The sequence below is a fragment of the Homo sapiens genome, chromosome 3 (genome assembly GCF_000001405.40).
Source record: "Homo sapiens chromosome 3, GRCh38.p14 Primary Assembly".
NCBI classification, from domain to species: domain Eukaryota; kingdom Metazoa; phylum Chordata; class Mammalia; order Primates; family Hominidae; genus Homo; species Homo sapiens.
This window is the reverse complement of record NC_000003.12, coordinates 26,063,142-26,081,369: the sequence shown is the minus strand read 5'-3', so window position 1 is coordinate 26,081,369 and position 18,228 is coordinate 26,063,142. Positions and strand designations below refer to the sequence as shown.

Below are 18,228 nucleotides of genomic sequence, written 5' to 3'. Positions count from 1 at the left end.
TCTGGAGGCTGGAAGTTCAAGATCAAGTTGCTGGCAGGGTTGGTTTCTCCTGGGGCCTCTCTCCTTGGCTTGCAGGTGGCCAGCTTCTCACTGTATCCTGTCTCTAACAGGGACACTGGAAGGTGGGAAGAGAGGAGAAACAACTTTTTTTTGTTTCCAGTTCCTATCAGCTTTGCTCAAATAACAGAGGACAGCTGCAGTTACAGCCTTCGGATTCTTTTGGCAGTTCTGGATCCAGCCATACAGTGTGCCCCTAGAGAGATGGCCAGCCATGCCCATGTCAGCCACATTGTAACCCCCTTAGAGGTTCAAACACCAGACTCACAGGGCCAAGCTCCTAGGTCAGTGAACCTATTTTTATTCTTTATCATGGTATCAGCAGTTACCATATCTAGGTAGCCTCAGCGTCCATTTACCATATCTAGGTAGGAACAGCGTCCTGCATAACCAGTTCCCTGTATCAAATTGTCTCTATTTGAAATACCTGGCGTGGTTTATCTTTTCATATCTGGACCCTAACGAATATAGTTTCTTAAATTAGATGAAATATAATACCTCAATAATATTTAAGTGCATCTAAATTATCTGCTTATCTTTAATTATAGAGTTTCAATAAACCTCATTATGTAGATACTTAACCTCAATTCTTCACTTCTTCAATTTGGAGCTTTAGAGTTATTTTCTGTGTTCTCTTTTTCATCTTTACAGTTTCACAATAAGAGATAATTGGCTTTGTATTGTCTTCGTGGCTTCTGAAAGCTTTATTCACTGAAAGCTTTATCTGTAAAAGGTAGACATAAACAAAGGAATATACACACAGTTTTGCCAAGTGTAAAATGCACCTGTTTTTTGTAACTTTTAGAAGAGATGATTTTGAAAATATTTATAACAGAATATTTTCATGGATAAAAATGTCCTGGGTAAATCCAGATGCCACTGAGGATGAAAAAGCTTCCTAGATTTGATTCCTAGATTCTCTTTCAGAAAGTTGTTAACATGTGAGTTCTGGTCTTTGCTCACTAGAAATCTCTAGATTTCATGTCTGATACTAGCACTACTACCACACATCTCTATGACCTTAGGTAAGCCGCTTTCTACTCTGACCTCTATTGTTGCCCCCAAGAAAAACAAAGGGTTGGACAAGATCAGGGAGTCAAACTCCTTTAATATTACATACATATTTTGTCCCGCAAATCCCATATTTTAAAATTTTTTATCCACTTATACTGCACTTAAGTTTGGATTTCTCAGTATTTATTAGTCATAGACACAAACAACTTTCAATTGGATATTTGGAATTTTAAGTTTCTTATTTTTAAATTCACTTCAACTTTTTCAAAATGTTGAACATTATTCACTGGGCTCCATTATCATGTTCCTGAGCAGCTCTGCAGATGTTCTGATCTATTATCATGTTCCTGAGCAGCTCTGCAGATGTTCTGCTCCATTATCATGTTCCTGAGCAGCTCTGAAGATGTTCTGATCCATTATCATGTTCCTGAGCAGCTCTGCAGATGTTCTGATCCATTATCATATTCCTGAGCAGCTCTGCAGATGTTCTGCTCCATTATCATGTTCCTGAGCGGCTCTGCAGATGTTCTGCTCCATTATCATGTTCCTGAGTGGTTCTGCAGATGTTCTGCTCCATTATCATGTTCCTGAGTGGTTCTGCAGATGTTCTGCTCCATTGTCATCTTCCTGAGCAGCTCTGCAGATGTTCTGGTCCATTATCATGTTCATGAGCAGCTCTGCAGATGTTCTCCCTCATTATCATGTTCCTGAGCAGCTCTGCAGATGTTCTCCCTCATTATCATGTTCCTGAGCAGCTCTGCAGATGTTCTGATGCATTATCATGTTCCTGAGCAGCTCTGCAGATGTTCTGCTTCATTATCATGTTCCTGAGCAGCTCTGCAGATGTTCTGCTTCATTATCATGTTCCTGAGCAGCTCTGCAGATGTTCTGCTTCATTATCATGTTCCTGAGCAGCTCTGCAGATGTTCTGGGACTGTAAATGCTGGTCACAGTAAAATCCACTTCCCTTAGCAATCAAAACTCTGCACTCTTATGTGAATTCCATGATTTGTGTCAGAGAAAGAGCTCCATTGCTAGAATTGTCATCCAAATATACATAAAGGGAGCCACAATAGAATGGGACAAAATGGACACAAGCATCTGTTTTTTCAGAATCACTTTATTGATCACTCCCCACAGAAGCTAAAGCCATCAAATGACTGCTTTTATTCCAAGACTCAATCATGCATGGAAAGACAAATGTTTGAGATTTTATGTGTTCATATAATCACAGAATTGAATGGAACTTCAATTAATTAATCCAACTAGATCTTTAACTTAAAACCATTTTTTTACAATGGCCCTGGACCAGTGATTGTCCAAACTGTGCCTGAATAAATTACACTGACAGGTATGTTTATAATTCAAACTATGCAGACACCCCTAAACCAGCATAATTTTTATTGCCTGAAACCAAGGGCTAGTATCCCTTTCATACTCCATTACTGACACAGGGAAGGAAGGTAGTCCTTAAATAATATCTAATGCTAAAGAAAAGCTCAGATCTACTCAACTAGCATTTACTGGATAGTTTTGCTTTAGCTCACCTACATGAGATGGAAGTCATCACACCCTATGTTTATCTGCACAGGCAGAGAAAAGGAGACAGCGAAAGCAATCATATGGATAATTCAGGTCAATGTGAAAATGCAGCTATTGAAGTAAAAGAGAATTCAGAGTTATCTGAATCACCCAGATTGCCATTTGTTTTGGTTACATTGAAATAACTGCTCACTCTCTACTTAATCTGTATATTCAATCTCTCCCATATGCCACATTCATTAGAAAGAACATTTAGGCTTCCTTTAGATGGTTTTTCCTCTTTTGCAACTTACATTTTTAGAAAAGATTTGTATCACCCATTATTCAAGTAATTATCAGTTTCTAGCAGACTTGTTGATTTTCTTAATTAAACTTAGCTAACAAATCATTAAAAAAAGAAAAATGCAACAGTTTTTCCTAGTCCAGTTAATTAACTATTTCTTATTTTATTCTAAGACTCCTAGACTAGAAAGTAAATTGTGCAAGAAGCAACAGTTCTAATTTTACTACTGTCATCTTATGCTCCTGGTTCCAGGTTGCCAAGAAAATAATTATCTTAGAATACTGCTATTTATTGAGAATAGCATAACCAGCTTATGTCTTAAGGCAGATGATAAAAGGAAGCCATAAAAGAGAAACAACTTTTGGAAGTTTCACAAAAGAGACATGCAGGCTTTCAGAAACATCTCAAATTATTTTGCAGTGGTAAAATTTGTTATAATGAATATTGGACTTTTTATCTCATCATACTGCCTCACTTACTTTCTGACTAGAAATTGAATACTGTTGCGGTTAAAATAAATCGTCTCCCTTTTCAAATATTTTCCTATGGTCAAAAGCCATTTCCTTTCTCATTTTCTTAAACAAATCATTCATTTCTCTGTAATATTTCTCAAAGAAATCTCGTTTATTCAATTTCATAGATACCAACCTACTCCTGGTCCTAATTCCTGCCCCGTGGGTGATCATAATAATCCCTACACTGCGCTCCCTGCCTCCAGTCTTTCCCTGAATACAGTATAGTTGTACTGTGGGCAGGGGGAAGAGTGCCTGGGTTTAAATCTCAGCTCCAGCTGAGTGACCTTTGGTATGCTACTTTACCCATCTATTCCTCAGTTTTTTCATCTCAAAAATGGGGGTAATAGCAGTACATACCTAATTGATCCTGGAACTGTTTACGCCCTTTCCGGCTCTGTATCATAGGAGTGCCTCCCCTATGATACAAGCTGAAAAGGGTATAAACTGCATTTCTCAGGGTCACATATCAACTGGCTTCCACTGGGATCAGCCAATGGGTGGCACTAATGGGAGAATGGAGGGTGGGGGGAAGGAAAAAGTTCAGGGGTCCCTCTCCTCCTTGAGCAGGCTCTCCTGCAGTAACTGTACTTTCTCCACAGCTCTCTTGGGGTAGGCCCACCAGGGTTCTAAACTAAACCAGGTGACACCCAGCTCTGACCTGCAACATGCTACTTCCCTTTGTCCTGCCACCCTAGGGGTGACAGCAGCTTCCTGGTGCTGCTCATCTAAGCTGCTTCAGCATCACTTGTTGGCTTCCCATCTGTTTTATCCCTGTTAGATAATTTCTTGCATTAACTCTCTTCTATTTAAATACTTGAAGTAGGGTTTTCCTCATTAGACCTGGTTAAACCCTGAGTAATCCAGTACTTCACTGTGTTTCTGAGAGGTTTAAATGAGTTAATACATAAAAATGCTGCAAACAGTACTTGGGATTTGATAGATATGAGTAATTATTAAATATTTTTACATATTATTGTTCCATTAAGTAACTAGAAATCCCCTATGCTTTACTCTTCTGGGGATAAAATTGAGTTCACATTAACATTAATATTCAAATTTCACAAGCTTAGTTACTTTACCTGCGAGAAATCAGAACGCTAAAAACCATTTTACCCCCTCAGTATTCTAGGGTCCCCAAAGGTGACTCACATATACCCACAAACAAGTTGACTTCTTCTTTGTAAAATCTGTAATTTAGCATAGTATCTAATATACACATTGTATTAGATTCCTAGGGCTGCCACAACAAAGTACTAAAAACTGAGTGGCTTGAAACCATAGAAATTCATTTTCTCATAGTCAGAAGTCTAAAATGCAGGAAGCTGGGAGTCCAAAATCAGTGTCAGGAGAACCATGCTTCCTCTGAAGTTTCTAAGGAAGAATCTGTCCTTACCTCTTCCTAGCGTCTGTAGTTCACCAGTGTATCTTAGCAAGTCTTGGCTTGTAGCTACATCACTCCAATCCCTGGCCCCATCATCACATGGCCTTCTCCCTGTGTGTGTCTGAATCTCCTGCTTATAAGCATACCAGTCATTGCATTAGGGCCCACCTAATCTTAATTTGATTACATCTGCAATAACCCTATTTCCAAGGAGGTCACAATCACAGGTAGAGGGGACTTCAGTATCTTTTGGGGGAAGACAATTCAACCCACAACACATATGTTTTGCTTTAGACATATGTCTTGTGTGACACTAATTATCATAAGATGCCTGACGCAAGCATGATCATATCCATTTTAGAATTGGAAAGGCTAAAGTTAGAGAAATTAAGGGAACTATCCAAAGTAATGTGGTTATTTTACAGTCAGAACTTGAATTCTGGTTTTAAGGATCAAGTTCACTTCCTTTCAAATTGTATCATTTAATACTTGAATTCAGTGAGAACACCAATTTTAGAATCTTGGGACTTGAGGTTTAGGTTCCTTAACCCCTTGAGGGTTGAGCTGCTCACATTGTGAGGGAACTGTAAAGTAACATACAAAGGGCATGGATAGAGGGAAGAGTGAATAATTGCCACCCTTATTGCAACTTTGCTGCCACAGGGGTAACTGATGAATAGTTTCCTTCTCCCAGCTAGCTTTAAGTCTCCCCAGCCTCAGAGGCTACCAGTATTAGGACCACAGAGCCATGAACATCTGAAGTTTATTGCCTCCCCTCTTTACCCAAAGAGTGATCATCCTGCAGTCCCTCAATACATTTTGAAACTTCTTATAATTCTGTAGCTGGCTTCCACATAAGGCTTGAGCCTATTCAAAAGGAAAGGGTCATCATTTTAGAAATATGGAAGTACTTGTAGAATGGAGAAACGTATAAATATTTTTACTGCAGCAGACGGAATCATTTACATTGAATCGTATTTCTCTTTTTGCAAGTTCTAATATTCTTCATATTTCAACAGGTTTAATTTTTCATTTTGACACTGATTCAACCTCCTCCTCAATAGCTTATATCTATAAAAGCATATTTTAGAAATCTCTGTGAGGGGTTCTCTTTGTTCTTTTAAAAAACACACATATTAATAGTTTTCCAATGAGTGTATTCATTTGCTTAGTTTTTCTCAGCAAACATTCTTTTTCTAGATTCCACTCCTTTGCATTTATTCATGATTACATTCATACATACTGGTATGTCATTGTTCCTCAATAAATGTTTATTCAATAAATAAATTAGCATGTGCATGAGCTTCATTAATTCTCCATCAATAATGCCCATAAATAAAAGGTTACATTGGTCTTGAAATGTGTTAGTATCCTCCCATAATGACCCTGAATTTGGCCATGTGAGTTGCTTGTGGTGGAAGTGCCAGTTCTAAACATATGCCTCAAAACACATTGAACACTGCTGCTTGCTATCTTGAGCCCCTGAATCCACTATGAAAACAAACCTGAACTAACCTACTGAAGGATGAGAGACTACATGGAGAAGAACTGTGTCATCCCAGCCAAGGCTGTTCTAGCAGCCCTCTGCTGACCTGATCACAGATGCAGAGAGAGGCTGAGCATAATCAAGCCCAATTTCAATCAGCAAAAGCACCAAGCTGATCCATGATGAGACACAGTAAATAGTTATGGTTTTAAGGCATTTAGTATGGGAGCTGTTTGTTATGCAGAAATAGTTATCTGATGCAAAGACCAGTGTGGCTGGATTGCAGGAAGCAAAATGTTGTGCTAGATGAAGCAGGAGGAATAGACAGGGAATAGTCGATGTAAAGCCATATATACAGTAGAGAAGATCTGTAGTCCCCCCAACACATTTACTCTTCTTAAAGCCCCAGATTTGTTGCTAGAGTCTGTGCTTTCCCCAGTCTCAGCCCACGTGGTTTGTTGTGAGGCAGAATCTAGGTAAAGCATGTGATCCAGCCCTTGACCCCTAAGTATATCCTATTCCCATAGCCATAGTACTGGTTCAGGGAAGAACACATGACCTAAGTTAGTCCAATCAAAGTGAATGGCAGGGCTTGGATTGAGACTGCTGGGGTAAGGGTTTATTCCCACAGCACACAAATCAGAGTTGCTGGTAGTTGTGTTATAGCCACAGGAAAAGATCTCATTTGAAAAGAATCAACATAAAAGAGTTAATAAGTAGAGAGAGGAAGCATATCTTTATTAAATCTTTTAAAGTCCTGTGTCTACTAAGCCTTATTAGATAGAATTACCCGATAACATTTCCTTTTTTTGCTTAAGTCAGCTTGAATTAGGTTGCTTGTTACTTATAATCAAAAGAGTCTGAACTTATCTGCATTAAGTAATTTTATCCTTATCCTAGGAACACTGGGAAGACATTGAAAGGCTTTAAGCAGGGGAAAGATGAGTACATTTTCACTTCAAAAAGATCCTTTGGCTACTGTGTGGGAGAGAAGTTCCAAGGCAGGTATTAGAAGCCAGTTAGGATGGTTTTTCAGGAGTACAGGTGAGAATAAATGGTAACTTAGACTAGGGTTGGGTAGAAATCAAGCCAACTTCGAGTAATCACTTAACAGAAATAAAGGCTATATTAAAGCAAAGGGATATCCCAGGCTTGCCAATTCTACCTCTGTCTCTGTTAACGAAGCTGGGCTGCCTCTTCACAAGACCACAGAGACCATGCTGCTGATAATGCTCTCCCACACAATTGCGTGCGTTGCTTTCTGTAGCCTGTGCTCACTCCTCATTTCTCTGAGCTAAGTTCTCCTCATGCCTCCATCTTTGAACAAATTTCTTCTCTCACCTAAAACTGAGATAATCTCCAGACTCCATTTTTTGAACTTAAAGACCATCAGCATTATATACAGCTCTTGGCTCCATTTGCTCCTTCCCCCGCCCCTAGTTTTGGTCCAAGACTTTACATCTTTTGTACCAAAATTTTGCATCATCATACTAAGATAAATCCTAGAAAATAACAAACCTGGCAAAGAGCGAATATGGTTCATCAAAGCATTTTGGTAACAGTAAAAACTTTTAGCCAATAAGGGAAGTGTCATATAAATACTGTAGTATGTAACAATAAGCGAAGATTTAAATGATCGGTATGAAGATATTGTAAGAAGTTGAAATTTTTTTTAAAAAAAAAAGCAAGATACAAAATCATATGACCAAAATATTTACATTTAAACAAAAGTGTGTATTTAAAACTATAAATACTCCCGACCTCAGGTGATTCGCCTCCCTTGGCCTCCCAAAGTGCTGGGATTACAGGTGTGAACTACCGCACCAAGATCGCGCCATTGCACTCCAGCCTGGGCAACAAGAGCAAAATTCCGTCTCAAAAACTATAAATACATGTGCAAAAACTACAGTAGCTGTGTTTTAGGGTGCTGGCATAATGAGGGTAATTTTTTCCCTCATTTCTAAACTTTCTCTGATTTTCACTTTTTATAATTTGCCAGAAAAAGGAAAAATACTACAATCTAATCCTCTACTGTCCAATTAATTAATAATAAGACTCCAATTTTATAAAAACACATTAGACTAATTTAGATATAATATTATGATGGCTACTAATGTTGTGCCCACTATATAGATTTGGAAAGTAGCATCCAAGGAGAATATTGTTACTGGAACTGTTAGACAGATCCATATCCCTTATCTGCAATTTTTAGATCCAAAAAGCTATAAAAACCAAAGGCTTTTTGTAAAGCATTTGATGGTTAAACCTGACCTGAACTGACATGAGGCTACTTTTGCCACTTAAGGTGAATATTCATCCATTTCACTGAAGAAAGATTAGTGTGTTTGATTACAAGGTGCTCTCCCAGTCTCTGATGTGGTATGTGGTATATGTACTTTTCCAAAGTCCAAAAATTCTCATACACTCTGGCATCAAAGGGTTCCTATAAGGGATGACAGACTTGCATTTCTTCTCCTTCAAGTTCAATAATATGGTAATAATAACAATTCTCCTACTCATAACATTATCCTAGTCTCCAGAGTTACTGTGTTTACATCTCCTATGCACCACGACTTGCTAGTTTCATGCTGACTCCTCTCTATGCTCTTATTTCATTTGATCCTCAACGACAACTCTGTGAAGAAGCTTTTATTGTTTCAACTTTATAGCTGAAAGAAGTGATGTCCTGAGAGAAGTAACTTGACCATGGTCACACAATAGCCAGCAGTGGAGTTGGCATTCATGAGATTGCTCTGGGCTGCATTAGCATACTAGCTTCTCGACTAATTTTGTTTCAATAATTAACCGTATTTCCTTTCCCATGATTACTTGCCTAGGCAAACTCATTCCATTCTTGCATCTCTTTTCTGTCCCTTGCCTCTGATTGAGGTCAGGCAAGCAAGTCACCTGATAAACTGGATATTCTTTAAAGCTCTTAATGTTAACTGCTCTAGTCCTTTTGCCTTATTGAGAAAGAGAAATATTATTTATAAAGCTGTTTCTGCATGTCCACACACACATAAACATTCCATACAGTGTCTTCTTTAATCTCCCCATAGGGGATTAAGGTAGGTTTTATTATTTTAATTTTTAGCTGAAGATTCTGAGGCTGACCATAAGGTGATCTCAAAGTTGCTAAGAACGAAACTTCCGTTTATTAGATGACAACATTACACAGGGTAATATTTCCCAAAGTGCATTCCACCAATGAAGGGTATCAGAAGCATGAAGATTCCTACCCTCTCTTTAGAAGAAACAAATCAAAATATCTAGAGATGAAGCCCTAGAATCTGCATTCACGAAAGCTTCCCCAAGAGAATTTCTAACACTGGGAAGTTTGAGACACACTGATCTGGGAGAACCAGAAGTGGGCTTTGAAACTGAGGAGCCCAATATTCAAATCCAGGCTCTATCACATACCAGCTGTGTGACATTGGCTGTGTTATTTTCCTTCTCTGAGTTTCCGTTTCCTCTCGTATAATGTGAAGACACTTGTTTTCCTTGCCTCATAACTTGTTGTGGAGAGTAAATGAGGTACTGCATGTTATGTTTTTAGCTTATGATAAGACAGATGTTCAATAAGGGGCCATTGAAAAACTAATGGAATTACCTACTTGACTTGTCTCTGCTTCCTTTAGCTAGCTACGCTACTTTGCCTGAGTTTTTCTTTTTCTAAAATTTCTCCCAATGTCTGTTTGTTGACTCAACTTGGAGGCTGCATACTTGGAAACTAAATATCTTTCTTGTACACTTAATGCTCTTTTATTTGAGCTTGGATCTTCATTCACAGTAAAACATTATCAAATAAGATAAAAAGGATGTTTGCAGGCACTGATGGTGTGAGCTGGCATTTCCAAGCCTTGCTCACAGTGATGGAAACATTCTTAAGAAAATCCCAAAGCTAGACCAACCCCAATTTCACCTGTTAATAATGTTATTTGGTTTCTAGAAAGGGTCTTTGAGCACAGGTGGCCTTTTCATAACAACCAGATGTAGTCTAGGCCTCTTGCTCTGAGGTAGTCCCTGTGTTTTATCATGCTCATGGTCGTAAAAATGCCAAGAAAAATGCCATAAAAGTCCCAAGAAAATCTGTTTCTAATTTGTGGCTTTGACTATTTTTAAGGCTTTCTTTGACTATTTTTAGGAATATATAATCTATCCAAAATAGTAACAACATTAAATTCATGCAGTAGATAAATATTATATCTCACTCATTCATCTTCATCATGTAAAATGAACTGGTATTATGATTCCATTTCTCGGTTGGGAAAATGGAAGTAGTGTTTCAAGCCCAAACCTTCTGAGTGTATAGGCCTCATATCCTAGGTTCCTGAACCATCTGCACATAGATGTAGATGTTAAATTTCTAATTTCAAAAGTGTTCATGTTTTATTTCTTCATATTTTGGTTATTTGGGAAAATTAACAACTATATTCACTTACATATTTTTCTTACTCATTTTTGGACTACATATTTTATCAGAAGAAAATTGCATTCCTTTTATCACTGAAATGGCCAGAGCACTTGCTTGTTTGTTCAGATGTTATGGCTAAAAATCCCCATGGGTAGACTTAATTCCATACACAATCTATGACTAATGATTCTCGGAAATTCACGTTGAAATCATTACAAGAAGCTGGTATTTCAGAACCTCTGCCCTATGACTTTCCTCTAGACCACAATTTTGAGACTCCACTTCTCAGAGTTTTCTTTTTTATTATATCAATGTATTATCTATAACAAACGCATCAGTACATTATATGGAGAACATTTAACATTGAAGAGAGAAATCATTTTTATTCAGAAAACTGTATGATATAAATATTTTTAAGTGTTCAACATCACTAATCATCAGAGAAATGCAAATCAAAACTACAATGAAATATATCTCTCCCCAGTTAAAATGGCTTTTATCCAAAAGATAGACAATAATGAATGTTGGCAAAGATGTGAAGAAAAGCGAACCCTTGTACACTGATGTTGGGAATGTAAATTAGTACAGCCTCTATGGAGAACAGTGTGGAGGTTCGTCAAAAAACCTAAAATAGAAGTACTACGTGATCCAGCAATCCCACTGCTGGGTACATATTTGAAAGAAAAATATTAGTATATTGAAGAGATATCTACACTCCCATGTTTATTGCAGCACTATTCATAATAGCTAAAATATGGAATCAACCTAAGTGTTCATCAAAAAATGAATGGATAAGGAAAATGTGGTACATATACACAAGGGGATATTATCTGGCCATAAAAAAGAATGAAATTTTCTCATTTCAACAACATGGATGGAACTGGAGGACATTATGTTAAGTGAAATAAGCCAGGCACAGAAAGACAGATTTCATATGTTCTCACTCATATGTCAGAGCTAAAAATTTTAAACATTGAACTCATGGGGACAGAATAGAATGATGATTACCAGAGACTGGGAAGGGTAACAGGGCAGTGGGGATAGTTTGTGGAAACAAAAATATGGTTAGATAAAATGAATAAGATCTAGTAGTATTCAGTAGCCCAATAGGGTGACTATATTTAACAGTAATTTATTGTGTATTTTAAAATAACTAAAACAGTGAAATTGGAATGCTCCTAACACAAAGAAATAAGAAATGCTTGAGGTGATGGATACCCCATTACCCTGGCTTGATTATTACACATCATATGCCTGTATCAAAACATCATGTGTACCCCATAAGTATATACAACTATTATGTACCCATAATAATTAGAAATAAATTTTAAAAATAGAGCATATGCTGAGGAGTCTCGCATGCCTGGGTTTGAACACTAACCCCTCTATTTCCCGTACCAACTAACTGTAACATTGAGCAGCTTCTGATTACCATGCTATGAAACAGTTACAATGCTACCTTCAAAGGTTTGCTGACAGAAACAAACAAGACAAGATATCTCGGGTATATACTGGCACATAGTGTGCTTTAAATATGTTTATTTCACTTCTGTATCCATCTCACTCCTCATTCTGGAACCTGATGTTCCTACGCTATAAACTGCTATGGAGTGTGCTGGCTGAAAGCCTGGGCTCTGGCCTTGGATGACCTGAGTTTACATCCATCTCTGCCGTTTACTTGCTGTGTAATCTTGGAGTAGTTAACTCACCTTTTGGTGCCTCAGTTCCCTTACCTGTAAAATGGAGATAATAACACTAACTACTTCACAGGGTTGTCAGGAGAAGCCAATAAATTAATATGTGTAATGCATTTATCATGGCACAGAGGAAGGTGTAATAAGAGTTAGCTCTCATCGTCATCACTGTCTACATTGAACCTTTTATACTTTAAGATATTGTTTAGCTCAATAGGACAGTAGTGTGACATTTAATAAAGCTTTGCCTCTGTGCACTTTGCTTCGAAAGGTCTTCCAAAAAAAGATTCTAAATTATAGTTGCATATTACCTACCAAAAGAATCTACTTTATTATTTATAAACTCCAAAACAATTCAGAATATTTTTTATAAATCCATCCGCATCATGCAAATTCCCAACACCCAGGGTATATACTGTATTTATAACAACATAAAACAAGAGAAAGATATTTCAACAAATGACACTACTGCTTAGCAGTGTTATAGAGAAAATATGAAAACTTTTTGTTTGGTCAAGGCCTTTGGGATCAAAGACGATCTGCAGCTTGCTGAATTTTTCTACCATAATCTCAGGGATAATAAAATCACTTTTCTCTATAGGGATTATTCCTTGGGCAAGGATTTAAAAGGAGACAGGGCTTTGCTGGGCTTCTGTCTCACTAGGCTCAACCTGTGCTTTGTCCTTTATTAACACCGATTTCATTTTTGATAAGCAGGAGAAGGGATGCAAGCTTATGCTTTTTCAAAAGGCTAAACTACCAGCATCTGGGCCCGATGTGGTCTCCCGCATGTGATACAATCTGGGACTTCGTTAATTCTCTTTCCATTGCCTGACATTTAGGATTCTGTGCATTTGAAAGAAGGGGCAGTGAGCCCAGCAGACTTGTAGGAGTGTCACTTTGATGGCAGGGCCCTGGAGGAATTATCCAGGAATTCTTGCTGTTAATGGTACAGCCCTGCTATGCCCTGTGCCCTGTGTTTCTTCCTCCTTAACCCAGGGACATCAGCTCTATCTTAAACTCTGCAGACTCCCCCAATACCTTTCCAATCCTTTACTCCTTTTTTCTTAAGTGAGGCAAGGTTCATTTCTGATGATGGCAACAAATGTAACCTTAACAAATCTATTTATCGAGCACTTATAAGTCTCATGCTGTGCTATTTGCTTTTATCTCTTAGTCTCCTCAACAAGGTACTATTATTATCAGCCCATTTTACAGATAAGAAAACTGAGGCTAAGAGAGGTTGCATTACTTTCCTAAAGTCACACAGCAAGTTAGAGAGAAAGCTATGATTTGAACACAAACAGCCTAGCACAAATGTGCATGTGATGAACCCTGACACTGTACCCTTTAGGAGTTGGATCTAGATGAAAAGCTATTTAGCACCACTTATAATGCCTCAAGGACATGTAAAATTAAAACAATTGAAAACACTATGCCATTCTATACTAGGCAAGACTGGAAAAATGTTATTCCCATTGATAAAAATAAACAAAAGTAAAAGACAAATGTTTCCTTAGCTAAGTAAAAATATCCACGTCTCTGAACATAATTCAGGCAGAAATGAAATGCAGCCAGGTTTCACTGGCAGAATCATAGAGAATGTATCTGAAATAACAGAAGATTCAACCTTCTCTAATTATGACAGTGAGAATGGAAAGTAGGTGTCTGTTTAGGGTGCCCTCTTAACCTCCACTTCCACTCTTTGCTCACCTTACACTTCCAGAAAACACCTCCAGTTTCCTCCCACCTTGCTTCTCTGTGGGCTTCCTTACTACCTTTGTGTTCAAACTCTGTTTCTACTTTTTCTGTTTCTTAGACTGTCTTTCCTTGATAAATCTAGGCTGCCAGGTCACCTCTGTAAGTGGAAAGTGTGCTTGAAGGGTTTCAGAATGGATCACCCCAAGGTAGGGCTTTTAACCAGAGCAATGTGAAAGGGTTAATCACAATGGTAACTTACCTGCCATTTATTGTGTACCTTCTGTGGGGTGGGCACTGTGCCATGCTCCTTACTATGCCATCTCATTTGGTCCACATTCCACTCCATGAGGCAGGCATTATTTCTCTAATTTTAGAAATGCTGAAACAAAGACTCAAAGACGTTGAGTAACTGGACCTAATGTGTATCAACCAGGGTTTCTTTGCTTGAAGGCCACAGAAACCAACACTGGCAAATTTAAACACAAACGAAAATCAATTATCAGGATACTGATACCTTCCTGAATTCACAGAGAACTAGGAAATAAGACGAGAACCAGGAAAACTCCCAGCACCAGGAACTACTCGAACATCTGCTGGGATAAATGGGCCTGGGCATTTTTATCAGGTCTCACTCAAGATTCAAATCCTGGGAGAGAAGTTTGGAGTACTATCTTGCCTAGACTTGTATTCCCACGAAGACTGACCACAAAATGGACAAGATAATCCCCCCAAGGGAAGTCATATACTGTTAGGAAGGAGGGTGAACAAAATAGCACCTACATCCTTGATATTCCCAAGTGGCAGAAACAGAATTCAAACCCAGCTCCTTCTGACAGAAAATCCAGAGCACTTTTCTAGATGTTTGTGGAGGGAGTAGGAGGGAGGTCTAGGAAAACTAATAAAAGTTCTGGAAGCTCAACATCTTTAACTGAAGTGACAAGGAACAGAGCCATGCTGGACACAGAATAGGAGCTTGATAAATTCTTGTTGTATAAATAAATCAAAAAGATGTATAAGAAAGTCAGAGAAGCTTATATTCTGACTCCTATTGTCCCTGCTTTCCATCCTTGGGGGAACAGGCACCTCTTTGTCATCCTCAAAGCTTATCTGTCTGAATCATGCGTTGCCTGAGGATCTGAGCAAAATTAAAAACCTGAGCTTTTCTTTTCTTTATGAAACCAAGGCATTGCCTGCATGTCCCCCATGGGACTGGACAGTGAGTGGCCTATCTGATCAATGTGGGTCTAGGCAGACATACGCAGAGGAACTTTCCTTTGTGCAGAGATAGAAGGTAAACCACAGTGCCCATCTACGGCCTCCTGCTTTCAGAGGCAATCTGAATGATTCTCTTAAAAGTAAGTGTCATAAATCTGGCATCCTTTGCTCTCTTGATAATTCAGAATCTCAGAACCGACTGAAATAAGCTGATGAAAAGGTGCATGCTGTTTTGGTGAAAGAGGGAAAGAAGAAGGATTATATAATTGGGGGTGAGAAGAAGGAAGCCATTATCAAGACATGAGATTTCTCTGTCGGAGCTTACTTGGCTCTGGAAACATAAGAGGAGACTTTTCATCTTGAAAGGATTACTTGAATTTAATGTAAAAAATAAACATTGGAGGAGCTGTAGCTTTTCTGTCAACCCCATTGATCCTGTGACCAATGGTATTCACAAAGTCATACATCATTGGAATTGGAGCAACTTGATATTCATTTAGGTTCAAAACGAGGCCTCAGCCACGAGATTAAGAGGCTGGGCAAACTACTAAGTTCATTTCTGTCATTTGCAAGGTCAAACTCAAACATGGGCAGTTCAAAATAGCTCATTGATGAAAGAATAAGGAAGCTGCAAAGACGAAGAATCATTAGGGATTCCCTAGAACTCACCAGTCCCTGTCGAAAAAGCTGAATATCTTCCTAGTGAGAATGGAACTTTAATAAGGACCAACCATATTATTGTAAGAAACTCAAAGCAAAACTCATATGAAATATTTTATTTTTATGACTATCATTTCAGAGCTTAACATACCTTGTTTTGTGTCTCTAGCACAGAGCCATGGAGAAACAATCTAGACTTCCTTTTCCTTGTGAATTAAAAAGTGTATGATGAGTTTTCACAGAAGAGGTAAGAGGTAATAGCACTCAGTAACCTTGAACTCAAATTTCCTTAACCTTCAGAGACATCAGAAGTCCTACAGATCTTTTTAAATAATGAAAACATTTGGTAGGGGGGACTTATAACTTAAGTTACACAAAGGTGATTTTACTATTTTCAGTAATGTACTTTAAATCAAGACCACAGCACAAGGGGTATTCCTGATGTACCAACTGTTATAGACATAATCATTAAGATCCATTATGAAGATCCAATTAGGGAAAAAGTGGAGAATTTCTCAGTGTCCCATAGTTCATGAGGTGCTCAACCTCTTAACCTTTCTTACAACATGGGAGAAACAGACAATGTTACAACTCAAAGTAATTCCAAACACGAAGTTTGGCAGAAATGTTGTCTCTCTTGCACTTGCTATCAACTCTCTTTCCTTGGAAGTCTGGAAGGTCAGGAATGTCAATGAGTAATTTTCATTCAAAGGGAACCTTAGACTGAGTTTTTAAATACCTGATTTCTATTTTATAACTATGGACCATGGACATAATAAAAACTTGCTAAATTGTCATTTAAATAGAGAAAAAAGTAAATTTTCAACAAAGAAAAAAAACCTGAGCTATTATTTAATAATAATAATTTAACTATTATTATTTAACTATAACTTTTAATTATTTATTATTATATAACTTAATTATTATTTAACAATTAATATTTAACTATTATTTAACTAATGTTAACAGTGGCTCCTTTAATAATTGAGCTGGTAAATTATAAAATGATCTAGCTAGACAAGATCAAATTCATACATTTATTCAATAGATGCTTAGTGAGCATATGCTATGAGCCAGACCGTCTTCTACCAGACACTGATGATACAGTAATAAACAAGACAGAAAATGTCTGCCTTCATGGGCTTTCCCTCAAGAGGTGAAGACACACAGTTGACATCTTACCAACCAACTATACCACTTTTCATGTTTTGCAAAGGGCACTGGAGAAAAACAAAACAGATTAATCTGATAAAGCATACATTCTTTGGTGCATATATACATTAATAAAATAAATCTTGGTATTTTTTATGCTTTAAAACTTGTTTGTTACTATATGTTTTCTTTCTACTGTCATTTCCCTTCCCATTTTAAGCATTCATTTTCATTTTCTGATTAAATAAATGTGAACAATGACTGTATTTCTTCTGGAATGGATTGTCTGAGTCTAGGATCATCTCAAGGTACTTTAGTCCTTTTTATTGTTGAACTTATGTCTAAGTATGCTGAGCGTTTAAGACTAGAGTCAACGATTCAATCATGTAGCAGTTTGATTGAAAGCTTTGCTTTTACAAATAATCCAAGTAAAAATATTCACTTTCATTAGGCTACCTAGCAATATATAAATATATGTTTTTTAAAATGTTAATATATTTTGGATATAGTACTTAAAGCACTCTGTTCAAAGTCATGAAAATCAAATAGCAACAGAGAAATGAATTATAAATCTAACTTAAGAATTGGGTTTAGCTTTGTTCACATCAAATGGAAAGGCTGTCTCTGAATTGTATCAGACTCCATTTCTTTCCCATTAGTGGTGATAACATTTCCTGATTGACAGTTTTTATAACAATTTCTGATACTGATATAAACTCTTTAAGTTCCTTAATGTACTTTATGTATTAAGAGTAACTCTTGACCATCCTCACAAATGGGAACAAAAAAATTCTGGCAAGGGAAAATGCAGTCATAATCCACAAACCTAAATCTAGCCTGAGATTCAATCATTACCAACCCTTTGACCAAAACTGCTATTTAAAAAAAAAGGAATGAACACTGAGTTTTCTTTCCTTTGATTTTTTTCATTCATGAAAATATTTCAGTCAGTAACATGGCCTAGAAGCAAACAAGAAAATAAGAGAAGGAAAAACCTCTGCATAATCCACTGTCTGAATAACCAATCCCCAGATCGCAAAATTCACTAGAACCCTCAGAAAGGTGAGCAGGATTGCTGTGCCAGTAGAAAGAAAATGCAACCCTATCTTTCTAA

General features: G+C 37.6%; 1 long non-coding RNA gene across 1 annotated transcript; it reads right to left on the bottom strand.

Moving 5' to 3' along the window:
• Positions 1-647: 647 nt before the first annotated feature.
• LOC105377001 (uncharacterized) lies at positions 648-16,532 on the bottom strand. Its single transcript, XR_940662.2, has 3 exons — positions 16,114-16,532; positions 14,347-14,466; positions 648-781 (listed from the first exon to the last, which is right to left on the bottom strand). It is a non-coding gene; the product is annotated as an uncharacterized LOC105377001 (long non-coding RNA).
• Positions 16,533-18,228: the final 1,696 nt, after the last annotated feature.